We start from the raw sequence: 26,429 nt of genomic DNA, 5'->3' as shown, positions 1-26,429 counted from the left end.
TGGGTTCAAGTGATTCTTCTGCCTCAGCCTCCTGAGTAGCTGGGATTACAGATACATGCCACCACACCTGGCTTATTTTTGTATTTTTAGTACAAACGGGGTTTCACCATGTTGGTCAGGCTGGTCTCGAACTCCTGACCTCAGGTGATCTGCCCACCTCAGCTTCCCAAAGTGCTGGGATTACAGGTGTGAGCCACCGCGTCCAGCCAGTTTGGGCCTTTTCTGCACATTGCCTGTCCCTGTAGGGGCTGCCACGCTGTCCTGGGTTCATCCCAGTGCCCAGGTCCACTGACAATATCTAGCTTGAAGTACTAGCCTAGCCAGCTAAGACCAAGCCCCAGGGAGTGGCTGAGAATCTGAATCTCCAGGACTCTCCCGGTCCCTCCCACTCTGGAGCTAAGGACATGTTCCCCGTAGACCAGGTGATGCTCCACTTTCAGCTGGGTGCCCTCCTGTTTCCTGGGATGGCTGTGACTTGGGCCCCAACAGTGGCAGCAGTGCCCTCTATCAGGATCCCCTCCCCCACCTGATAGGGCCTTCAGTCAGGGCAGTCTCTCGAGGGCCAGGCAGGCCTCTGTGATGCACTGTGGAAACATTGCATGGGTACCACCAGAACATGCAATGCAACTACAATGCACCACAGCTGCCCGCCAGGAGGTATGCGGCCAGCCAAGGAGGTGCCCAGGGTGGTCTTCAGCTCTGTTTGTGTGCCCGAGGGGGCAGGAACCCACTCCAAGGCTGCCTGCAGAGGCCTGGGAAGTCACGCAAACCGCTGGAGCAAATGCAGGTGAACCCCTGGCCAGCTGGGGTGCACCTGGGCTTACAGAGGCTATGGGCCAGCAGGACCTGGGACTCTGGGAGCCTAAGAAAGGTGCAGGTAGAAACACACTTGCCTCAGAGGCTGAAAAGGGATGAAAAAGGAGTCCACCTAGGCCAATAAGCCGTAACTTTTTTGAAAGGGGGCTGCTGTCCTGGTTTCTCTGTCTTTCGGATGGCCCCACCCGCAGGGTCAGCATGAGGTGAGTGGGAGTGTTCTCGTAAACCAGTGCAGAGCACCTCCCCCAGGGGCCAACTCAGCTCCCACTCACGTGGTTGAGGGCAGGGTCAGAGGTGGCCCCACTGACGTTGAGGCTGCTCCATAGGTGGCCACTGGCCCTCTCGCAATGGCAGAAGGAACTCTGCTGCCCATCTGCTTTCCCAGGGAGTGAGGCATGCATGGCTCTGCAGGCATGGAAGATGGCCTTCACCAGGGGGCTCCTGCAGCAGTGACAGGGAGTCGAGAGGCAGGTCACTATGTGTCACCTGCGTGACAGGCAGAGGGGCCCAAGCCAGTGACTGCCACGCCCCACACTGATATGACATGTGCATCTGTTGACTCCAATGCTGCCACTATGGCACCATGCCACCAGCTCCAGATCTGAAATGCCAGCCCTGAGCTAGGGTTAGCGCCCCACCCTTTAGCACCTTCATTCAATGCTGGAAGTCAGAGACACAGGCTTCACCATCACGTCTGCTGCTAAGAAGCCACCCAAGATAGTCATTCCAACGTGTGCCTCAGTTTCCTTACCTATAAAGTGGCCACAATAAGGTGTTGTACCCGTTCTTTAAGGGACCACCCCCCCAGAGATGTGGTATTAAACTCTCTGGAGATACTTAGTTAGCTTCTTTCTGTAGAGGAGACTGGGAGTGGAAGGGGAGGCTAGGGATGGGGGAGGGTTCTCATAGCATCCTAGTCCCTGAAAAGCAGAGGGACCCAGGGGTAAGTGAATCCAGCAGGCAGCAGTGCCTGCAGGGGTGTCTTGGCTGTCCATGGAAGCTCTGCTGCTCTGGAGCGAGGTGACTTTGGACAACTTACCTGCTGAGTCTCAGTGTCCTCAGGCACATCGACTGGGGGAGACACACATACAGGTGGAATGCTATACCGGGCTGGGTGCTTACCTAGTCAGAGTGCTTACAAATGGGGCTACTTCAATGAAATTAGGGTGTCACATCTACTTCAGGGAACAAAGGACTTCAAGCCTGTGTATACTCACTCTTCTCAGCTCCTTCCTGTGCGCCGGTTAAGGGTCTGCTTGATAGGAAATGCTACAGCCTTGGCTCTAAGGATAGGACCTCGTGGGGCCTTTCTGTCTTGGAGCATTTTACAGTTTCTCTTAGAATACTCAGATCCAATTAGAAACAGCCGGGGAGTCAGCAGGCAGGGCTGCCCATCACTAGTGCCGAATGCCCCCAAGACGCAGACATGAATCTCCAAAGAGGAATGTCAAAAGCTCTCCGGTTATGCCATGTGCTAAAGGCTATTTTAGTTACAGGACAAAGTTGCCAGGGTTGATGGTGGGGGTGGAGGTGGCTGGAAGGAAAGTGGATAAAATGCTAGCACACAGGGGCAAGATGCTCCAGTGCACATGAGTTTTGGGGGCAACAGTGGCCTCTCTGCACTGATTGTGAACCACCAGTGCCTGCCTCCACCACAAAGCTTCTGAAGATGCTGGGGGCCACACTGCTCTCGTCTCTTCTTTTCAGCCTGTGGCGCCATGAAGGCTGCAGGGAGGAGGACCCGGACACAGTGCTGACAGCTGCTGGGACAACTGTCGTGTTGTGCAGAGCAGGACACTTGCACAGAGGACCTGCTGGCCCAACTTGAGTTCTCCATGGTGCCCTCACCCCCGACTTTTCTAGCCGCCCACCTGTCATGCAGTCCTGACCCTTCACCCCAACACGCCCACCCAGTCCAGTTTGCTCCTGCTAACTCAAACAAGATTCCCCTGGAGAGAAGCAAGTGAGTGGCCAAGGAGGGTTACGCACTCTGTCACTTCCAGGGCCTTGGGGATGCGTTCCACTTTGGTAAAATGAGAGCGCACAGCTGCATCGTCTCCCTGGAGCCAGCTGATGGCCACAGTGATTGCAGACGTCCACCACCGACAGATGATGTCTGGACCTAGAGGAGAACAGCACCAAACGCACTCCAGCACCCACAGAAACGAGACCTGTGGCGCTCAGAGGCTGCTACACTTCCTTCCTAGGAGATGGGTAACATCTTTGCCTGCTGGGAACGGGCCAGCAGCCTCTGGGCTCCCACACCCAGGATTCTGGGGGAGGGGAATAGACCAGCACAATCTTGGAAAGTGTTTGGCAATATATATCAAGAGCCTTAAAAATGTTCATTCCTGGTTGGCCGCGGTGGCTCACGCCTGTAATCCCAGCATTTTGGGAGGCTGAGGCAGGTGGATCACCTGAGGTCAGGAGTTTGAGACCAGCCTGGCCAACATGGTGAAACCCCCTCTCTACTAAAAATACACAAAAAAATTAGCTGGGCATGGTGGCGGGTGACTGTAATCCCAGCTACTAGGGAGGCTGAGGCAAGAGAATCGCTTGAACCTCGGTGCGGGCGGAGGTTGCAGTGAGCCGAGATCGTGCCATTGCACTCCAGCCTGGGCAACAAGAGTAAGACTCCGTCTCAAAAAAAATAAAAAAGTTCACTCCCGTTAAGCTAGTAATCCCATTTTTGGCAGTCTGTCATAATGAAACTGGCTTAGAGAGAAAAAAGTTTAACACATATTTGACTGCAGTGTTGTTTTTAAATAAAAAGATGGATACAACCTAAGCTTTCAATAGCCATAAAGAATGGTATCTTCAAAGTATCTGGAACAGGCTCCTGTTAGAATATTTTAAGTCTTCTCCTCTCTCAGCCTTAGTTTTCTCAACTGCAAAATGATGACAGTAGTGATCCCACAAAACCAGCGGGGATGGTCATGCTTCCCTAAACTTGAAAACAGAGGCCACAGGTCAGGGATCATGATAGGGTGGCTGATTTTCTGGGATCCCTCCCTCCCTAGGGAGAGTGACCAGCGGTAGCTTGGTACCCCCATCTTCCAGGGTGGCCACAGAAGCCCAAGAGTTGGCAGCTGATGTGCTATCATCCTGATGGCAGTTTAGGGACAGAAGCAAAGAAATGTCATGATGTCAATCCAGTCAGTGGGCTGTGCTGTGACACTGATGTGATGAGGGGCTGAGGAGTGGTAGAGAGGCCCAGATGAAAAGTCTCTTCAGCAAAGAGCATAAGGCCCAAGAGCTGCCTCAGGGGCCACTGTGCATCTGAAAGGTGACTCCCCACCATCCCTGGTGCCTGGGCCACTCATTGCTTGTTCTTCTGGGCATTAAGAAGGGTCCTCACCTGGGTCACACAGCTAGGGCTTGAGGAAGACATTCAATTACTCATTGCCCTACTTCTCTGAAAACCATAGTTTCCTGCCTCTGAGTGCTGTTTGGGAGGGGGTGACTGTGAACTGGAGCCACAGGTATGAACCTGGGATCCAGAGAAGATGCTGGCATCTACACTCCTAACGCCCTGGACCCCTGGGGCAAAAGCACTGTGAAGACCTGAACTGAGCACCCTGAGACTGTGGGCCACCCGCAGGTGCTTACCCAGGGCGGACTTGAGCACGGAGCTCCTGGAGAGTGGGGGGCTCATAACCCCCACAGAGTCCACAAAAGAATGAAGTAATTTCAAGTACTCCAGAGCACTGGAGAATTCACTAGGAAGAAAAGAAAGGGTCCCATGTACATCAAAACATATACACAAGGCCCACCTCATGGCCTAGCTGTTCAGCTCTCCAGCTCTAAGACCCAATGGCCATTTCTGTCCCTTTCCTGTCATCCCAGGCACACGCAAGCGCTGTCTATGTGTACCCTTTGTATTCCTCAGGCATCCTTCCTCCGTGTCTCTGGGCTGTCACTGACACTCTTCCCTCTACTGGGGGCCTTTCCCTAGCATCCCCCACAGCCTACCCTCACTCCTCTCCTTAAGCCCCAAGTCCAGTGTCATCTCCTCCCAAAAGTTTTCTTATCTCCCAGGCAGAACTGCCCCCTCCCCCTCTCCTCAGGTGCACCCTAATCAGGATCTGGGCCTTGTAGGAAAGTGACTTTGGGGCCGGGCACGGTGGCTCACGCCTGTAATCCCAGCACTTTGGGAGGCCAAGGCAGGCAGATCACTTGAGGTCAGGAGTTCCAGACCAGCCTGACCAATGGTGAAACTCTGCCTCTACCAAGAAATACAAAAATGAGTCGGGCATGGTGGCGCGTGCCTGTAATTCCAGCTACTTGGGAGGCTGAGGCAGGAGAACCGCTTGAACCCAGGAGGCAGAGGTTGCAGTGAGCCAAGACTGTACCACTACATTCCAGCCTGGGTGACAGAGTGAGACACTGTCTCAAAAAACCCCCCAAAAAACAAACAAAAATAACAAAAAACAAAAGTGACTTTGGCACCTATCTGCCTCTCAGGTCTTACTCTGTGAAAGAAGGACTGTGCTCAGTAAGTATGTCAGAGAGAAAAATTGCCCGGCACATTCCATGAGGGGCTGGGTCCCCAAGATGTCCAGGCCAGATGTGTCTGCCTTCTGCTGAGCTCGTCACATTTCATTCCCATCCCCTTTCTTTTTTTTTTTTTGAGACAGAGTCTAGCTCTGTCACCCAGGCTGGAGTGCAGTGGCGCAATCTTGGCTCACTGCAAGCTCCGCCTCCCGGATTCATGCCATTCTCCTGCCTCAGCCTCCGGAATAGCTGGGACCACAGGCGCCCGCCACCACGCCTGGCTAATTTTTTGTATTTTTAGTAGACGGGGTTTCACCGTGTTAGCCAGGATGGTCTCGATCTCCTGACCTCGTGATCTGCCCACCTTGGCCTCCCACCCAAAGTGCTGGGATTACAGACGTGAGCCACTGCACCCAGCCCCCATCCCCTTTCAACAGGCCCCTGCTCCCTACCCCAAAAAGCAGAGCAAGCTAATGAAATCCCTGACTTGGTCCAAGTACTGACTCCGCTTGGTAAAGGGATACATAAAAATGGGTGCACCTGCCAGGCGTGGTGGCTCATGCCTGTAATCCCAGCACTTTGGGAGGCCGAGGCAGGCGGATTGCCCGAGATCAGGAGTTCAAGACCAGCCTGAATGACATGGTGAAACCTCATCTCTACTAAAAGTACAAAAATTAGCCAGGCATGGTGGTGGGCGCCTGTAATCCCAGCTACTTGGGAGGCTAAGGCAGAAGAATCACTTGAACCCGGGAGGCAGAGGTTGCAGTGAGCTGAGACTGGTCCATTGCACTCCAGCCTGGGCAACAAGAGCGAAACTCCATCTCAAAAAAAAAAAAAAAAAAAAAGGCCTGGGCATGGTGGCTCACGCCTGTAATCCCAGCACTTTGGGAGGCTGAGGCAGGCGGATCACGAGGTCGAGACCATCCTGGCTAACATGGTGAAACCTCGTCTCTACTAAAAATACAAAAAATTAGCCGGGCATGGTGGCAGGCGCCTGTAGTCCCAGCTACTCAGGAGGCTGACACAGAAGAATGGCGTGAACCCAGGAGGCAGAGCTTGCAGTGTGCCAAGATTGCGCCACTGCACTCCAACCTGAGTGACAGAGCGAGACTCCGTCTCCAAAAAAAAAAAAAAAACGCACTTGGTCTAGGAGGAAAGGCCAGGTCAGAGTTAACATAGGGCTCTCATTTTTGAGAAATTAAATACAAAGGAACCATTTGATTGCCCTGCCAACCCGATGCCAGGCTTGTTTCCCTCCAGGAGTGCAGGCCTTCAGGCTGTCCTGGAGTTGCCTGCGTGGACAGGTCCTAAGGCAGGGGGACTGGTCTGGGGACTTTACCAGCTCTCTTCTTCCTGGTCTCCAGCCTTCTTCTTGGCCTGAGGTTTCACCAAGGACTCTATAGCTCGCTCCAGCAGGTTCTTGCAGAAGGCCTGGTGGACCTGCGCAATGGGGTCAGCTGGAAAAGAGACAGGCAAGGGGGGTTAAATGGAGCTCATTTATGAGCCCACTTTGTCTTTACGGAGAGAAACTCCAAACACAGCCATGCCTTGTGAATGGGGATCAGATGCCCCTTCTCCACCAAAGCCCAGAACTACTGTGCTAAACAGTTGGAGGATGGGGGAGAGTGTTCACTCCCAGCCTGAAGAGCTCAAGACTAGTTCTGGATGAGCTCCGGTGGGGAGGGGGTGTGGGGGAGGGTGCTGTGTCTCCTGGCACAGTGCTCAGTACTCTAAGGTTGGGAGCTGTCAGGTGGAGTTGGATCAGAAAACAGAAAATGGAATGTCTCAGAGGATTTCTCTTCTCCATGTGGCTAAGGAGAACCACCAGGCAAGGAAAAAAAGGTGGTAGCTGCTGCCACGCTCATGACAACGAAGAACATGCTCCGGTTTTTCCAGAGCCTTGTCATGGAACGTGCCATCAGCAGTGACCTGTCTGAACTGGCTAGACACGGGGCCTTGCAATGCTTGGATAGCTGACTGTCACCAGCAAGTTTCTTTACTGGCAGGCCTCAAATCACCAGCCCCTTCTCTCTCCTCACATGTGGCAGATATGTGGGCCTCGATCTAATGACCAGGAGGAGGGACACTTATGAACACATTCCAAGTAACAAGGCCTGGAGCCAGAGACTGCCAGAGATGACAAAGCCACTGAGAAGTCCATGTTTAGCCAGCAGGGGTGGGGTAGAAAGATTTAGGATTGCTTTTGCTTTCATCCTTTATATTTTGGTGTTGCACACAATTCTCACGTTGAGCAATACAGTTATTATTTAAAAAAGAAAAGGACAGTGAACTCCCCCAATGTGTGACACACACCCCTATACCTGTAGAACCTTACTCTCCCCACAGACTCCAATTCTGAGAGGGGAGGAAAAGTACAGCAGAAAGCAGACAGCCACTGAGCACTCAAGGTCTAAGTCAATCCTGACCAGCCTCTACTGCTCCAAGGCCGGGCGAGTCAACTCCAATCACTATCAAATGCCAGGGACAGAAAGCCAGCACCTCCTTCCAATGCCTGAAGCCTCGTCCCTGTCACCACTCTGAGCAGTTGATGACTGCCTGCCACCTATTGTTCCCAAACTCTCCATTTATGTCTGTCTGCTCTCCCAATGGGAGAGACCTGGAGGCCAGGGAAAGCAAGCCTCACACATCCTTTGTGTCTCCAAAGTGCCCAAAACAAGGGCTAAGAGTACCCTTGGAGCTTAATCACAATTTATTGCTGTGTGATGTAAGGACCATGGGCTCTGAATGTTAGAGAGAGCAGAGCTGCACACCCAGCTTAGCCACTGACAATTTCTGATCAGGCTTGTGACCTTAAGCAAGTTACTCAACCTCCCTGAGCTTTGGTTCAAACAAACAAACAAACAAACAAACAAACGGACTCAACAAGATTAAGAGACAACCCGTGTCTCCGCGTGTCTGGTGCAGTGACTCTGTAGTACCGGCGGTTTGCATGGCTTTCTCCAATTCTGAATGGCTCCAAGGTATTCTCACCTGGGTTCCTCTGGGCACAGTATAGACTCTCCTTGGCAGCTGACTTCACAGACCAGCTCCGCTCCATGAAAAACTTCTGGCCCAGGGGGTGGCAGAGCCAGCGCAGGGAGTCAGGAACAGCACTGTGCTCGGGGCCACACAGGCTCTGGGCTCGGCTGAGGAAGTAGCTCTGTGGAAGGACAAGGACCAGGGGTAACACCAAGGTGGCAGAATGCTGGCTGCAGCCACTGTGGGGTGCAGAAAGCACCATGGTGGAGGTGGGCTTTGGGGGAGACTGGGAAAGATCAGCACAGGGATAGGACTCCCACAGGTACCTGAAAGTAAAGCCCACCATGGAAACTAGGGCAAGCCCACCAGTAGAGTGTGCTGGACTTGCTGACTAGGTCCACATCCCAGCAGGAGGGCAGGGAGCAGCCACAAGGCACGCGTGGGGCCCCTGCTGCATCCTGTCCTGCTGGGGCTGCCTGATCCTACTGGCATTCAACCTGCAGGGTAAACTAGGAAGGCGGTTTCCCAAGGAGGGGTCTCAGGGGCCCCCTGGCTGCTGTACTTTCCCCTCGGCCCCGAGAGTGCCAAGCCAGGCAGCCCCTTCTATCCTGGGACTTTTTATCATGTCATTTTTTTTTTTTTTTTTTTTTGAGACGGAGTTTCGCTCTGTCGCCCAGGCTGGAGTGCAGTGGCGCGATCTCGACTCACTGCAAGCTCTGCCTCCCGGGTTCACGCCATTCTCCTGCCTCAGCCTCCCGTGTAGCTGGGACTACAGGCGCGCGCCACCATGCCCGGCTAATTTTTGTATTTTTAGTAGAGACGGGGTTTCACCGTGTTAGCCAGGATGGTCTCGATCTCTTGACCTCGTGATCCGCCCGTCTCGGCCTCCCAAAGTGCTGGGATTACAGGCGTGAGCCACCGTGCCTGGCCCATCATGTCATTTTAATTACATATCTTTTAGACTATTTTAGGCAAAATTATTCTGCTTTGACTAATTTTTCTTTTACTTTTACTTTGCGTGTAAAGTTTAGAACAGTGCTCGGCACATGGCCAGCCGTCAGGGTCACATCAGATGGCACTGGAGTGAAGGGGCAGCTGGGAGGACAGCCCAGGCCCTGTACAGGCAAGTATCTGTGTGCAGGTGGTTGAGAGACTCCCCCCACAAAGCTGGCCCTGCAAGGGCGGCCCCCTACAGAAACCCCATGGCACCCCTGCATGAGCCCCTGATGTGAACACCAGCCTGCGAGAAAGAACAGAGGGGGAACCTGGAAAGCCTCTTTGTGGGACAATTCAAAGAGCCAGGGCCCCGGTCACTGGGCCCCTCCTCCACTTGCCGGGATAACATCATTCCAGGACCCCACTGACAAGAACTGCAGGGACAATACCATCTACCACGTTTTCAGTTCTGTCACTTTTTGAGTGAGGGTATTTTCACACTAACACCCATGACTTCCAACCCATAACCACTCCCCGAAACAGGCCAGGGTGAGTGAGGAACTGAGGACAGAAGACAGGAGGGAGGGAGAAGCATAAGATAGAAAGCCCAGGGAGCCCAGGGGCGGGGCTGCCAGGCCGAGGCCCGCAGACATCGCTTCCACACCCCAGCCCTCGCCCCCACAGGAGCAGCGCTGTTTCATGGTCTGGTTCAGTCTGATGGTTCTGACCTTTACTGGGCTCTAAGTAGCCATCAGCGAATGTAACGGCTTCAGAAGACTTGAATGCCAGGGTCAGAAATAGCACTGTCAGAGTGCCACTCGAGGACACAGACAGAGAAGACTATCTCTCTCCAGGGGGAACCTGGAGACACTGCCTGAGTCTGAGAGAAAACAACCTGTTCTATAGACACATACTCATAATCTCAAAGCAGCTTATGAGATGAGGTGGGGTGTTTCACTTACATTTCTAATCACTGGGACCAGGGGCACCAATAGTCCGTCCTTCCTCTTTGGTAACCAGTGTTGATACTGGATACTGGAGAACAAATGTAGAGGACCCTCGCGACCCTCTGCCAACCTTCCACAAAGCACTCACTGAATCTGAGCTGATAACTGCAATGGTGGGAGAATAGCAGTTGAGGAGCTGAGCAGGGAGGGAGATTGGGGGGTGGTGGCGTGATTCCTGGGCTTCGGAGGTCCCAGAACATTTGAACGGTTGACTCCAACTCTCTTTCCAAGAACAGCCAATTCCACATGTCCAATCAGCAAGGGAGCCTGGTGGCTGCTCCAGGAGAAACTGAGGACCAACTGGTCCCTCACGAGGGCCCAAATGTTACAAGTAGAAGCAAAGCCTAGTCCAGGTCATACGGCAAGAGGAACCAGAAAGGCAAATGTGGAAATCACTAAGTAAAAATGTATTTTAAGCTTAATTCTTTTCTTTTCTTTTTTTTTTTAAAGACAGAGTCTTGCTCTGTCACCCAGGCTGGAGTGCAGTGGTGTGATCTTGGCTCACTGCAACCTCCGCCTCCTGGGTTCTAGCAATTCTCCTGCCTCAGCCTCCCAAGTAGCTGGGATTATAGGCACCCGCCACCGCACCCAGCTAATTTTTATATTTTTAGTAGAGACAGGGTTTCACCATCTTGGCCACGCTGGTGGCTTGGCTTGTAATCCCAAGCCAAAAAAAAAAAAATTTTTTTTTAAGTTTTCCTAAATTTTATAGACACCAGAATCTTCCCCAACTGGGGCCTAGGAGCCTCCCCCTGTAACTCATCTGCTAATTGCCTGATGTGAAAGAGGCTGTGGCAAGAACCCCACAACTGTTTAGATCCTGAGAGCCACTCAGTATCCCTGGGCCAGTCCCAACCCCAGGTTGTGTCCCCTAACATCGGTCTAACCCCATGGCTCTCAAATCGTGTGCCAAGGCAGTCTGAGGTGCCACAGCAAGTGATCAAGGGAGCCACTGGCTATTTTAAACTTTCGAGGAAAACAGTGATGCTCAACATCAGCTGGGCACTGTAAGTGACTAGATGGGGAGAGCATGCAGCCTCAGCATTGAGACCACACTAGCTTCCTTTGGAGATGTGATATCTGTCATAGTACTGTGTGAAAATCAATGTGGAAAAGAGAGAGAGTGATGGTTGCTAGTCTGATTCCAAAGCTTGAGGTGTGCAGTGCTTGACAGGTTCATGTATTGGTAAGAAACAGTGACACCATGCTTGTGAAGAGCCATTCCACTCCAGCCTGGGCAACAGAGTGAGGCTGTATCTCAAAAAATAAATAAATAAATAAAAGAATATTTTGGATTCTTAATAACCATGATTTCTAAGAAATTATTAAGAATCCAAAATATTCTCTCTCTTTCTTTCTTTTGAGACAGAGTCTTGCTCTGTCACCCAGAGTGCAGTGGCACAATCTCGGCTCACGGCAACCTCTGACTCCTGGGTTCAAGTGATTCTGTCTCAGCCTTCCGAGTAGCTGGGATTACAGGTGCGTGCTACGATCCCTGGCTAATTTTTGTATTTTTAGTAGACACGGAGTTTCATCATGTTGGCCAGGCTGGTCTCAAACTCCTGACCTTAGGTGATCCACCCGCCTCAGCCTCCTTAAGTGCTGGGATTACAGGTATGAGCCACCGTGCCCAACCTCTTTTTTTTTTTTTTTAATAGAGACATGGTCTCACTATGTTGTCCAGGCTGGAGTGGAGTGGCTCTATTCACAGGTGTGACCATAGCTAACTGCAGCCTCAAACTCGTGGTTTCAGGAGATTCTCCTACCTCAGTCTCCTGAGGAGCTGGGACCACAGGTGTGTGCTACCACTCCTAGCAAAAAATATTATTTCTTCTTTCAACTTGACATATGATTTTTTCAAATGACCACTAAGCTGTTAAGACAATTTAAATACCTATTAGGATGTTCAAACTTAACTACTTAACAGAGGCCAGGCGCGGTGGTGCATGCCTATAATCCCAGCACTTTGAGAGGCTGAGGTGGGCAGATCGCTTAAGCCCAGGAGTTCGAGACCAGCCTGAGCAACATAGCAAAACCCTGACTTTACAAAAAATACAAAAATAAGCTCGGTGTGGTGGTGTATACCTGCAGTCCCAGCTACTCGGGAGGGTGAGGTGGGATGATCACTTGAGCCCAGAGAGGTTGAGGCTAGAGTGTGCCGTGATTGCACCACTGCACTCCAGCCTGGGCAACAGAGCAAGACACTGTTTCAAAAAACGAAAACCAGAACCGTTAGGTATTTCTTTTGGCTAAGGGATGCCATGAAAAATTTACTGAGACATAGTGAGTAGAGAATGTTTGGGAATCTTGAGTCATGAGTTGAGCAAGTTTGGGAACCTCTAGTCTAAACCATTTTCACAGAGGCCAGCCCTCCACTTGCCCCCAACAACTGGCTCATTTGTAGCTAAATATATCTCACCAAATTCAAAGCTTCTTCCTTTATAAGAAAGTACTGTCTGAGTCTCTTTATCCTCTCTCAAGAGAAGTAAACAGAGAAGAGCAGTTACTTTAAAGATGACAGTTCTCCTTTTTCCATCTTACTGAATATGCAAATTTGGTAATACTATTAAGTTTCAAATATTTATATCCTTTGACACAGCATCACCATCTCTACAGATTTGGTCTGAGGAAACTCTTATGGAGGTGCATGAAGACAATGGACAAAAATGTTCCCTAAAGCACTGTTTATAACGGCAAATACTGGAAACAACCCAAATGTCCATCAGCAGCATCAAGTACCTCTGTAGAATGAAGAGGCTACAAAGAAACACCCAAGATTCATCGTTAGTCACTAAATCTGGAAGACCAACACTTCCAGACATCAAGACGTAAGAGAAAACTCAGCCGTTAGGGTTGGGTGGTGATGGTGCAGTGGAACAGACTAGATCTGGAGGCAGACCCACGGTACACGGATCCTTGATTTATGAAAAAAAGGTGCCACTTGGTGCAGCAGGGGAAGGATAGTTTTTAAAATAACAGGTTCTGCGTCAGGTAGATATCCTTATGGAGAAAAACAGATCTTGCACTCCTACCTCCAACTCTTATAAAAATTAATTCCAGGTGGATTAGGTACATATGTGTAAAGAGTAAAAAATAAAGCGTCTAGCAGACAACATAGGAGAATATCTTCATGACTTTGAGGTAGGACAAAGATTTATTGAACAGGACTTAAAATGTCTAACTGTAAAGGAAAAGACTAATAATCTGGATTTCACTGAAATTAAGAGCTTGTGCTCTCACTAGACACCATTAAGACAGAACAGGCAAGCCCCAGAGTGGGAGAAGGTATCTGAAAAGCATATATCCAATAAAGGGGTAATCTCCAGAATAAAGAATTCCTCTAATCAATGAGACGACAGATAGTCCAAATGAAAAAGAGGTAAGACTTGAATTGAATGTAACGAAACAGACTATCCAAATTGCCAATAAATGTAAGAAGAGGTGCTCAATCTCATTAATCACCTGGGAAGTACAAATGAAAACTACAATGAGATACACTAGAAGGGCTTAAAAAAATTGACATTATATGTGTTCGGTAAGGATGTAGAACTAGAAGTCTTGTTCACTGCTGATGGAGTGGAGAATGGCCAACAATTTGGAAATACGCACAACCTCTGACCCAGCGATGCCATTCCTAAAAATGCAGTCACGTTTCCTGAAAGATGTGTGTACAAGGAGGTTCACAGCAGCACCCTTCATAATAACCAAAGCCAGAAAACAACTAAAAAGTTCATCTGCAATAATCTAGTCATACAATGGAACACTATAAATATGAGAACGAACAATCTATAATTCTACATAACAACATAATGATTCTTACACATGATATTGAGCAAAATAAGTCAGACACAAAACAGTGTATACTGCAAGACTCTCCTTATATTAATATAGTTTAAACAGAGGCAAAGCATCTGAGGTGACTAGGATGGTGGTTACCCTTGGAAGGCTGGAAGGCTTGGGGGAAGGGGCAGGTTAGTGATTGCAAAGGGCCCAAGAGAAGTTTCTGGGGTCTTGGTTCTGTACTTTGATCTGTCTGCTGGCTATAAGGGTGTGTTTACTCTGTGGAGTCACTGAACTGTGTATTTATGATTTGTATACTTTTTGACATGCATATTGTAATCTTTTTTTTTTTTCTTGAGACGGAGTCTCACTCACTCTGTCACCCAGGCTGGAGTGCAGTGGTGCAATCTTGGCTCATTACAACCTCCACTTCCCAGGTTCAGGCGATTCTCCTGCCTCAGCCTCCCAAGTAGCTGGGATTACAGGTGTGCACCACCACATCCAGCTAATTTTTGTTTGTATGTACGTATGTATTTATTTTGAGATGGAGTCTTGCTCTGTTGCCCAGGCTGGAGTGCAATGGCGTGATCTCCGCTCAATGCACCCTCCACCTCCTGGGTTCAAGTGATTCTCCTGTCTCAGCCTCCCAAGTAGCTGAGATTATAGGCACATGCCACCACGCCTGGCTAATTTTTGTATTTTTAGTAGAGACAGGGTTTCATCATATTGGTCAGGCTGGTCTTGAACTCCTGACCTCAGGTGATCTGCTCGCCTTGGCCTCCCAAAGTGCCGGGATTACAGGGGTAAGCCACCGTGCCCGGCCCTCCCAGCCAGACTTCTAAGCATGTACTTTGATAAGTTTACTGAAATGATGAACAATAGACAGATTAAACTCCAGTGACAGAATTCAGAAGAGTGGTTACCTTGGTTGGGGCAGGAAGAGCAGGGAGGGCCTCAAGAAGGCTTCTGGGGGTGCTGGGAATGTTCTACTTCTTGATGTGGGTGGGTGTTGCATGGGTAACTTCACTTCAAGCCGTAAGTTAAAATGTGGGCATTTTTCTGCATGTATGTTGTATTTTGATAAAATGAATGTCTTCAAAACATTTTTGGGGGGCATGGAAGTTACAAATGTAATGACATCAGCCCAGAGCACTTCAATAAACTGAAAAGGAGAGAGATCTCATCAATGCCTCCTGCTGTCAGCCTAGATTCACCTTCCCCAGAAAGCCCACCCTGACTTCCCCCAAGACCAGCTCAGGAGCTCACCCTAGCTCACACTGTCCTGAAGACCTGGTCCCAGGAAGATCTGTCGAGGGAAGGTTGAAATGAATAGGAAGAATGATGTGTCTTCAGTGTCTGTGGACTCCCAGGTCGTCTAGCCCACAAGTGAGGATGGGGTTCTTTCCCCACCTGGAGCCCAGTCCTCCTCATGAGAAGATCAATGTCAAGCTCAAGAAGGGCTGCTGTCTAGATTCCTTGCCAACTATGCTCCCTGAGGACAAGGCAAATGTCCTGCTTAGAGACGGTGCTCAGTCATATTTGCTGAATGAGTGAATCAAGGGATGAGTCTCTTATCTGTAGTCACCAGAAACAGAGGTAAGACATAAAAAGTATCACTTCTCAGCCTTCTGGCTAAGATCAAGTGTAGACATAAAGAGTACACTGGGCTTCCCTGCGCCCTTTGTCCCCTAGACTATCGTGATGTACCTCAGGAAATATATCAATGTCACTACAGGGCACGTTCTGATTCATTCTCAGCTCATCTCTGCTGTTACTGAGATACGGAAACAAATAGAGATGTGGTAATGCTTGAACATACCTGATGTATTCAGCAGTCTATCCATAGTGGGACACAAAGTAAAACATACCTGTTTCTGCTAGAGTAAGAGAAAGCCTGAGGTCAGCATGTTGTGAGCTAGCTGATAACAAGGACCGGGAATTACCCATTTGAGAGTTCCCAAGCCTGGCTCCTAGCTAGGCATATGGGAGGTGCTTGATAGCCACAATCCCTGCCCTCGTCTGACCTGAGCTCCTTGTAGACAGGCACAGGTTTTCTTTTACTTTTATTCATTTCATTTTTCTTTTCTTTAACTCTGTAGCTTGGCAAAGGCACTGGCTTTTATTTCTGGATTCACAGTGCTGTGATCAATACAAGATGCCCAATAAATACCTTCTGAGTAAATGAAAGAACCATGAGACATAACCAGGGGATTCTAAGAATTTTTATGACCACTTGAAGAACAGAAAAGTTGCATATTAACCCCCAAGTACAGTAGCTCTGCTATTGCTGAACCAATCTTCATATTACCTCATATTACCTCAGGGGACCAAAATGTCCTGCCTACAAGGCTTATGGTATTAAGGCCACAAGGGGAGGAATTTTGGTCTGTTTTATCGGTTGCTGGGAGTCCTGGTGAAATGAGCGACTGAATGAATGCCTGCCTACCCCTCCAGGTGGGCAGCACCTGATGGGGAAGGGGGTTCATAACTGCTTCTGCATCTTAACTCCTGGCTAGGTAAGTGCTCAGGGGAGGTTTACAGAAGGGAACCGAAGGGTACTCACGGCCAGGAAGCCCAGCTTGCCTCCACACCGGGTCTTGAGCCCCATGGCAGCAGTCAGATGGATCTCAACCAGTGTGCTCGGTGGGATCTTCTCCTCTGCACATTCAGCCAGGTTCACGGCACACAACGCCATGTGTACATCGGAACAGGCGGATCCTGCAGGAAGCTTCCCTAGGGTGGGCAGAAACAGACACTATTGTTGATGGAGCCCCAAAACCAAACTTTTTCCTGCTCTCTCCAGCACGATCAAAGTAAGAGAGGAACCAGGGGAGAAGCGAGGTGAACTTTGTGATCAGACAGGCCTGATCACAGGATGGGATGCCAGGCTCTGTGATATACTGGCTGTGTGTTCCTGTCTACCTCACAGGGTAGCTGGGAACATGGCACCCATTTCTGTCACACCCAGAGCTGTCACAATTGCAGGTTGTTGTATAGGACTCAGAGGCGCACAGTGCAACATAACAATGTCAGCAGCACAGCCACACTGTGTGTTTCCAAACATTCAACAGAGGTAATGAAATTTTTTTTAGATGAACTGATTTGAATTTATTTTCATTAAAAAACCTTCACAATGTGGCTGGGTGCCAGTGGCTCACACCTGTAATCCCAGCACTTTGGGAGGCCAAGGCCGGCGGATCACTTAAGATCAGGAGTTCGAGACCAGCCTGGCAAACACAGTGAAACCCCATCTCTACTAAAAATAGAAAAAATTAGCTGGACGTGGTGGCACACGCCTGTAATTGCAGCTACTTGGAAGGCTGAGGCAGAAGAATTGCTTGAGCCTGCGATGCGGAGGTTGCAGTGAGCTGAGATCGCACCACTGCACTCCAGCCTGGGCAACAGAGCGAGACTCTGTCCCCCAAAAAAGCCAAAAAAAAACCCGCCTTCACAATACACAAACACATACCCGTTTGAGGGGGAAGTGACGTAAACTGAGCAAGGACAGCTGAACACATGTTGGGTTAGTGGGTGGGAGGCCAGGAAGGCTTACCACACCCTCCCCTATGAGAGGTGCACAGTGGCCCATCTGGGGCTGATCCCCTAATCAGGGAACAAAGTATCCTTGCACAGGCACAAGGGCCCATCACAGCTCTCGTGAGGCTTTCATACTGTTGCTGGCTTTGGTCCTCACTACAAGGGCAAGCAGTCTCCTTGCCTCAGGGGAGGAAGTGCCCATGTCAAGGTGCAGACAGTGGCAAAGCCAGGCTTCCCGTGCTCATCCAGCCCTGTGTTCCCCCTCCTGGGCTGCCTTGCCTCCCTGTCTTTTTATCAGCCTAGGGAGATCTCAGCCTCCACACTCCATTCTGTACTGGCCTCAGGTGTTCCTCCTGCAGGAGACACAGGAAGGGAGGTGAGAGGGCAGTGTGGCAACCATACTGTAGTTACCTCTGTCCCCTCAGTGCCTCACACAGGGAATGCCAGTGAGTATGGAAGGAATGAGTGACGTAAAGCTTCTCAGCTGGAATTCTCCAGAATTTGGCAGCAAGGAGGACACAGCCTGATCAGAGACCTGAGTATGGGCTTATTCTGTCCCAAGGGCACACTGAGGAACAGACAAGATAACAGCGGGGCAAATTTGCAGATAGGGACCTTCTGCTAAAATTCTACCATGAGCCCACATATTAAAGCTGCACAATGGCCCCACTGTCTCATCTCCTGGTCACTCCTACATCACTTGCCTGGCTCTGTTCCACTTTTGGCTGAAGCTCCTTACTGCCATCAAGGTATCTAACACCTTCCAGTTACCACATCCTACTGTTATTCCTGGCCCTCATCTTACTGGGTGTCCCAGCAACAATCTCCCCTCCTCAACTCTCTGACCTTGCTCCTCCAACACTTAGCATCTCAGTGTCTCCTCAGACCTCTCCAACTGCTCCTCTCAGGCAGCCTCTGCCCCTGACTCCCCATCCTCTATCTGTTCATCTCTGCATGCATGTGCAGTGGCACAATCACAGCTCGCTGCAGCCTCGATCTACCTCCCAGGCTCAAGTGATCCTCCCACCTTGGCCTCTCAAGTAGCTGGAACCACAGACACACACCACAAAAACCAGCTAATTTTTTGAATTTTTTTTGGAGAGATGGAGTCTCCCCGTGTTTCCCAGGCTGATGGGAAACTCCTGGGCTCAAGCGACCTTCCTTCCTTGACCTCCCAAAGTTCTGAGATTACAGATGTGAACTGCTGTGCCAGCCTTTATCCTTTCTTTTTGAGATGGAGTTTTGCTCTTGTTGCCCAGGCTGGAATGCAGTGGTGCCATCTTGGCTCACTGCAACCTCCACCTCCTGGGTTCAAGTGATTCTCCTGCCTTAGCCTCTCGAGTAACTGGGATTATAGGCACGTGCCACCACACCCGGCTAATTTTTGTATTTTTAGTAGAGACAGGGTTTTGCCATGTTGGCCAGGCAGGTCTCGAACTCCTGACCTCAGGTGATCCACCTGCCTTGGCCTCCCAAAGTGCTGGGATTACAGGTGTGAGCCACCGCGATGGCCTATCTGTTCTTTAGATGAGGGTGTTCTTCTGAATGGCCCTGAGGGTCTCCTTTTCACCTATCCACTCTCATAGGCTCCCTTGCTTTTCACTCTCACCTGTAGTCTTCTTTGGGCTGTAGATCCTGCATGTCCAGCTCACCTCCACATCTCACAGGCAAGTGTCCAAAAGGGAACTCACCACCCTTTTCCTGGAAAGTTGCTCTTCCTTCTATTTTCTTTACCTTTGTTGGTGGCACCATCGCTCACCCAAACTCCCAAGGAAGAACCAGGGAACCGTCTTAGCTGACTACTGTCCCCATCCATCAGTCCAATGAGTCCCCAGTCCAGTCAATTCCACCTTCTAATTTCCTCTCATCTGTCCTTTCAGCAACTCTCATCTTTAATCTGCATCAGCTTCTATTTGGCCTCTCTAGCTCTAGCCTTGATCCTCTGGGATCCACTCCTTATCTGCCATCAGAGTGAATCTTCTAAACTTTTTTTTTTGGAGTGCTATGGTGCAATCTTGGCTCACTGGAGCCTTGATCTCCCAGGCTCCAGTGATTCTCCCACATCAGCCTCCTGGGTAGCTGGGATTACAGGTGTGCATCACCAAGCCTGGCTAATTTTTGTATTTTTTGTAGAAATGGGGTTTTGCCACGTTGTCCAGGCTGGTCTCGAACTCCTGAGTGCAAGTGATCCTCCTGCCTCAGTCTCCCAAAGTGCTGGGACTACAGGTGTGAGCCAGCTACCATGCCCAGCCTGACTCTTCTAAACTTGAGAAGCACAAACCTGATCATATCACTATTTTCCTAATGCTCTTCACTGAATCCTACTGATACACTACAAGATCCTCAGCCTGGCATCCAAATCCTTCATGGTCTGAGTACTGCCTTTGTGCCCTGGCTCCCTCTAGGACCACTGAAGGCTTATTCTCAAGAGCCACCCCAGGTGGGGCTCCTCCTTGGGAACATCCCTCTGCCCAGAGGCTCATCTCCTGCAGAGCTGGTGACCTCTATGCATCCTTCCATGCAAAGCCAAGACTCTACTTCCCCAGAAAACCTTTCTTGAAACCCTCCAAACGGGTACCCACTCCCTCCCAACGAAAACATGTTCCTTCTGCTAAGTCTAACATACTCACGCTGAACTGTCATTCATTTGTTGACCTCTCTGCCTATTATAGCAGGAGCTTACTGAATGAAACAGATGATCATATTTCATTGACTCTAAGATGTCAGCAATTTTAAGTCTCACCATTAATTTAAGTATCACTAAAGAAAAACACTGCCAACTTATCTACAATGTGCCACTGTTTATAGGACACATCCTGAGTATAGTGATGTTATTGTGAAAACATGTGCATCTGAGAACTGATGAGCTAAAGCAAAGAGCCAACCTTACAGCTGTGAAAACAGGTAGAAGCTTGGTCTAGCCACTCTAAAAGAGTAGCGTTAAAGGGACTTCAGCTAGGGTGCAGAACTGGCAAATCAAGCTAAGGAGGAGAGGTAGCATGAGATGCCTTGCAGCAAGCCAGGCAGCAGCAGCTGCCCCCTCACCTGTGATGTGCAGCTGGTGCAGCCGGTGATAGGCCAGAGCCGCATCCCGGGCGCTGGTCTTAGCTTCGTCTTCAAAGCCTGCCTCAGTGGCTGGCGTGGCCCGCCGGCACTGGAAGACTTTCTTGAGCAGCCAGCGCACCAGGCGTAGCTTCTGCAGGCTGTAGCGGATCACGTTCCAGGAGAGGCTGCAGGCCAGGTCCAGGCGGGAGGTGGGCAGTGCCCGGCCCAAAACTGCCAGGCAGGTTTGTAGGTTGCCGGCAGCAGCTGCAAAATCTCCCTACAAAGTATCAAAAGGTGTTAATGGTCACTGGCCTTGCTCCGGCTTTTTGTTTTGATATAGACTTCTACTCCCCCTGCCCCCAATTATCAGAGGAATTAGTGCACACTCATAAAAACGAGGGAAACTTCAGAAAGCTACAAGAAAGTAAAACAAAACCACCTATAATCTCATCCCCCAGGAAGAATCCCTGCTGACATTCTGAGGTATTTCCTTACAGACTTTTTACTCGATTGAGATTGTACTGCGTGCGTTTGTTCTATGAGCAAATGCTGGTCAGAGTTCCCTCAGAGTAGCACTTTTTTTTTTTTTTTTTTTGTATTTTTAGTAGAGACAGGGTTTCACCATGTTGGTCAGGCTGGTCTCGAACTCCTGACCTCAAGTGATCTACCTGCCTCGGCCTTCCAAAGTGTTGGGATTACAGGCGTGAGCCACCATGCCCGGCCAGCAGTAGCTTTTAGACATAAGGTGGTGACACAGATTTAGATGAACTGCATGATCCTTTAGGCTTTCAGGGTCTCAAAGTGTGGCCCCCAGAGGCCAGTAGCATCAGCTCTTAGGAGCTTGTTAGAAATGCAAGCACTTGGACCTTACCCCAGGGCTACTGAATCAGAATCTCTGGTATTGCAGCCCTCTAGGTGATTCTCATGCCATGTCTGCTAAAGCGTTTCTTTTCATTTTTAGAGATGGGGGTTTTGCTATGTTGCCCAGGCTGGTCTTGAACTCCTGGGCTCAAGCAATCCCCCCACCTCAGTGTGAGCCACAGCACCCGGCTTCATGCCTGCTGAAGTTTGAGAACCATGGTTTTAGGCAAACTCACAGCTAAACTACCCTACTCTAGGATTCAGATGAACTAATCTTTGTCAACCTGAGAGGGTCTAATGGAGAGTCTACGGCACTGTACTGGAGACCGCTCGCTTTCTCTCTCTCACTGCTGGAAACTAGAGGACAGGCTATATAGTCTTGGGAAATGAAAGTAAATTCTCCTATTTTCCTCTATTGGGCAGCTGGTACACTATCTGTGCTTTGTTTCCCACATCATTACAGGACTGGACAAGGGAAAAGAAAAGATGTCCTCACAGCAACAGTCTCTAAGGTGCCTCTATCTTTCCAGCCAGAAGGACCTGCATTTGCAGATTCCAAAGGAGGCAGGTGTTCCCTGGCTCCTCCCCTGCCTTTCCCTCAAAGATGGGCTATTCCCAAGTCCCAGTCTTTGGCTCTTACCCCTCCTGACTCCCCAGTCCAATTCTCCCTAAGAACCCTCTGCTGACAGACATGCTTCCCAAACACTCTGGCCCCGCCCCTGCTCAGTCCCCATGGCCTGCCTCTCAATCACTGCTCACTCTACAGGGGCCTCTTCCAGCTTTTCCAGGCAACATGGCCTAGATGGAGTCCACTCCATCTTGGAGCCTCTCTTATCCTTGAGTCAACGTCACTAATCACTTCCCTTCCAAATATTACATTTCAAATACTTATTCAGTTCAAACCTTTCCTTTTAATTCCAGGTCCTTGCCATCATCTCTTACTCAGTCTATTTCATAGAGCCCCCTGACTCAGCCAGGCGTGGTGGCTCATGCCTGTAATCCTAACACTTTGGGACGTCAAGGTGAGAGGATCACTTGAGCCTAGGAGTTCAGGACCAGCCAGGCAACACAGTGAGACCTTGTCTTTACTTAAAAAAGAGCACCCTAACTTGTTGCCATGTTCCATGCATTTCACATCTCCCTCCTACCTATCCTTCACAGCCACCATAATGATGCTTGTAAAACACACACCTGAACCTGCCTCTAGGATATACATCTTGGGATGTTATACTCAAGGAACAGGCCTCTCAAAATCACATCTATATTCTGAGACCCATAGCCCCAGCAAGGCTGACAGATCCAGGATGGCCAATCAGATTCTCACTAATGGCCCTGCAGCTTGCAGAGGTGGGGAGGGCAGGCCCATGGCTCACTGCTGCTGAGGAGTGTTCTGGTTCTTGTTCCTCTTGAAATGTGGATGTTTAACTCTTCCTCAATGCTGTGAGTTGCCCCAGATTTTTTTCCGTAAACTCCCTGTTGATTTCAAATGAAAACTTTCAGCTAGTTTTCCTGCTCAAAAACCTTTCCTGGTTCTATAGAGAATTGGGAATAAAGCCCCAAATCAGTTCCTAGTGAAAGCCCTCTCCAATTTGGGCCTAGACACACTACCAGCCTTTGCCTTCAACTCTCTCTGACATAACCTACACTCAACACACCCTGGAACCTGCCAGTCTCCAAACAGCCTGTCCATTCATGTGTTCGGGTTGGAAGGTCCTTCTGCCACCTCTGCCCTTCCTTCCTACTCTTGGCAGCCCCGCTCAAGCCCTAGAACCCCTCCCTCAGAACTCAACTTCATTATTCCTGTCATACCGGAGACATAGATCATCTCATGTCCCTGGAATTAATTATCTATGCAGAGGCGCCCACTCCACTGCCCTGTGACTATTCAGCAGCAGGGTCCCTTTTTCCTCTCACCACAAGCATCTATCATAGGACTTTCTTTGACACGAGTTGCTGAATTATTTGTCAAGTCTGGGGGAGGATGGGGAAGGGCGGACACAGAACTCACTCTGGCGAGATCCAGATCTGCCTGTTTCCGGTGCCTCCAGAAGGTGACCGAGGAGCGCGAGTGTGGCCGGATCACTGGCTCCCCATGAACCAGCAGCTTCACAAAGACGCTCAGGACAATCACACCATTTACCAGCCATAAGAGAAGAGTAGGCATCATCCAGTCAAACCAGCCCCCAGAACCTAAGAAGGAGCGTCTCAGCAGAGTCTGCTAGGAAAGGCCTTGCGGAGCAGCCAGGCACCTGACAGACCCCAGCACTATCACAGGAAAGAGTCTTCTACCTCATTTTCAGAAGAAAGGGCAAATAATTCTATAATCTAAACAGGGCTAATGACTGTAGCCCTTCTCATTATGGAGCTGAGTGCCATAAAAATCTTTGTTTTGAAAGGGTTGAGGCATTGGTTTTGCAACCTCAGATAAAAAACACGATATCCTCCTTCAAATAGGTACCACCCCTCCACCCCAGGGTATTTAGAGTAGTGTGGGTCCCTGATTTGTTTTGCTCATTCTGACTGAACTTGGGCTTGCCTTGTTACTTCTAAAATGGAACTTATGCCAGTCCCTATCAGAAGCAAGCAGGTGGGGGCCCACTATAAAAGCCCTTTGGGACCTGGTAGCCAAGCCAAGAAGTTTGTACACAGGGTCCTTCTCCTGCCATAGTGGTCCAGCCATGCCCAGGTGGGGCAAGGGGCCTCCACCTACCTGACTCGAATGACAGGACACTGCGGCCAGAGCCTGAGTGTGGGTGCTGGTCAGAGTCGTGGGCCCCTCCCCACTGCAGCAGGGAAGTCAGGGGGTTAAAGGAGAGGCACAGGAAGGTGAGGACACACAGAAGAATCCGTGAGCGGTCTACCATGCCCAGCGCCACAGGAGGAGAGTCTGGCTCATCTTTGACCTTCAAAACAAGGCCTCGAGGTTGGAATAAATACTGCATAGGTTTTTACAGCACTTTATAAATACATATATATATATTGAGAAATGGTTATGAGGTTTAAATTCAAGTCGATTAACTCAGGACTAAGGCCAGATGGGAACTGAGAAGCCTATAATTCACTAACTGCTGCTCAAACATTGGCACATTCACCTGCTTGCTAACTGAGAAAAGTACATGTTCCAAAGAACAAAGGTAGAAGAGATTTTCTTTTAAAATAGAAATCTACCACAAAAGAGAACACACTGTATGATTCTGTTTCTGTATAATTCCAGAACAGGCAAAATGAATCTAAAGTAACAGGAAACCAATGAATCAGTCATTGTCTGAGGCTGGAGAGGGGTGTGGGAAACTACCTGCAAAGGTGTACAAAAGAGCTTTTTGGGGTGATGGAAATGTTCTATATCTTGATTACAGTGACAGTTACATAGCACTGTACATTATGTTAAAACTCTTGGTACTGTACTTTTAAAGTAGGTATATTTTATTGCATTTAAATTACACCTCAATGAAGTTGATCAAAGACCGTATTTAGTGTGAATCTATCTAAAGGATTTTACCTGTTCTAAAACTGTATCATTGTCTACACCCACCCCACTCTCCATTTTACAGCAGGAGGGCTGAAGCCAGATCTCCCCTGCGCCCCAATGTGTATATAGCATGTCATTTCTTTTCAATATTTTAAAACCATTTAAGATTTTCTTCTGATGACTCAGAAGCCCAGCTAATTCAATTTATATGTCAAACAGCCTGTTGTTGCCAAACAGAACCACATTTATAAGAATATTTCAAAAATGGAGCTTCCTTAGTAAAATTAAGTATATGATACAATAAACAGCTTAGTCAAAAACAAACACTAGGAGGGAACTTTGTGCTTTCAGAGTCAGAAACTGCCGAAGTCAAAATACAGTACAAAACCCAGTGGTCTCTACAGGTTCCCAGGAAGATCATTAGGCTCAGAGCGTCTCTTAAGTAATTCCATTAAACTACCATTGCCAGGGGCTTTGACGATTAAAGGCCCATAGGTAAAATGTTATCTGTTAGACTGCAAATTGTAATCATTTCTGAAAAGAGGACCCAGAGGCAGCCTCATCCTAAACCAACTGATCAGCCTCCCAAAGTGGTCTTGCCAGGCCCATTAAAGGCAGAGTGAAGCAATGAGGTGCCTCCAGCAGCTCCCAACGCCCCCACAACAGCTACTCTGCATTCTCGTTCTGGATCTGGCACTCATTCCTCTCTGACGGGGCCTATCGGCAAGGACCAGTTAAACCTGAGGGACTGTTTCCCCCCGGAGTCAGTTTTTTCTTTCTTTATTCTCCAGGACCTGGCTAATTTCACAGAATTCCTGTTTTTCTCCAGGCTAGGCCCTCTTAACATGCGGCCTGGCCTCATAACTGTGACCTCCCAGCTATCTTCTTAGGGGAAATGGGAAAGATTCCAGGGATCAGGAGATTTCAAAAGTCTGTACCTTTGCATCATCCAATAGAGGGCTTCCTGGCTCAGAGTCAATGGAGTAGGGAGAGAAGCCAGCCTGGGACCCTGAGTCAGAGGCTGGGGGGGACATCAGAAGGACATTCTGATTAAAGTCCTCGATCTTCAGGTCCACCTCATTGTCCACCAGACTGCCTAGGTCGATGCCCTTTAGAAGCTCTGCAAAGAAAACCCCACCTGGTGAAAATGATCTGCTTTTACAAAGCCCCACCTGGGCCAGGGCTGACAAGCCTTTTCTCAGCACACTTACTGTTCTTTTGATTTGCCAGCTTCAGCACCATGTTCTCCTGGCGCAGTTTATGATTGACCTGCTGCAAGTATTTGATGTAATCAATGGCCTTCCTCAGAACGCCAGACTTGTGCATCTGGGTAGGAAGATGAGTGAAAACACAGTGAGACCAGTGCAGGCTACAGTGTGAAAAGAGCAGAGCCCTAGCACTTGGGATGACAGCATGGCTCTGTGAGAGGAGAAACCAAGTTCAGATGCTGGTCCTCCCAATGATTAGCTGTGCCACTCGGGAGAAGTTATTCCATACCTCAGAAC

At 49.5% G+C, this 26,429-nt stretch overlaps 1 protein-coding gene and 1 non-coding gene across 8 annotated transcripts in view; both read right to left on the bottom strand.

Annotated features, from left to right (window-relative positions):
* SREBF2 (sterol regulatory element binding transcription factor 2) overlaps positions 1 to 26,429 on the bottom strand; it is a 74,201-nt gene that overhangs the window by 5,719 nt on the left and 42,053 nt on the right. The window contains exons 6-19 of one of the 7 annotated variants that reach the window (NR_103834.2): positions 26,136 to 26,250; positions 25,863 to 26,044; positions 24,166 to 24,358; positions 23,464 to 23,645; positions 22,829 to 22,928; positions 20,595 to 20,871; positions 16,576 to 16,745; positions 8,302 to 8,470; positions 6,650 to 6,767; positions 4,426 to 4,535; positions 2,806 to 2,938; positions 2,034 to 2,350; positions 1,465 to 1,567; positions 1,089 to 1,257 (exon numbers count right to left, since the gene is read on the bottom strand). Coding sequence is in view for 4 of the 7 variants with exons in the window: in NM_004599.4 (NP_004590.2) it covers positions 1,089 to 1,257; positions 2,806 to 2,938; positions 4,426 to 4,535; positions 6,650 to 6,767; positions 8,302 to 8,470; positions 16,576 to 16,745; positions 20,595 to 20,871; positions 23,464 to 23,645; positions 24,166 to 24,358; positions 25,863 to 26,044; positions 26,136 to 26,250 (1,818 nt within the window). In the remaining 3 variants the exon portion in view is untranslated. The other 6 variants (XR_001755276.3, NM_004599.4, XM_017028921.3 and 3 more) reach the window with 6 other exon arrangements.
* On the bottom strand, positions 575 to 643 carry MIR33A (microRNA 33a). The gene has a single exon (NR_029507.1). It is a non-coding gene; the product is annotated as a microRNA 33a (primary transcript).

Source organism: Homo sapiens, chromosome 22 (assembly GCF_000001405.40).
Source record: "Homo sapiens chromosome 22, GRCh38.p14 Primary Assembly".
Taxonomy (NCBI): domain Eukaryota; kingdom Metazoa; phylum Chordata; class Mammalia; order Primates; family Hominidae; genus Homo; species Homo sapiens.
This window is presented reverse-complemented; position numbering and strand designations above follow the sequence as displayed.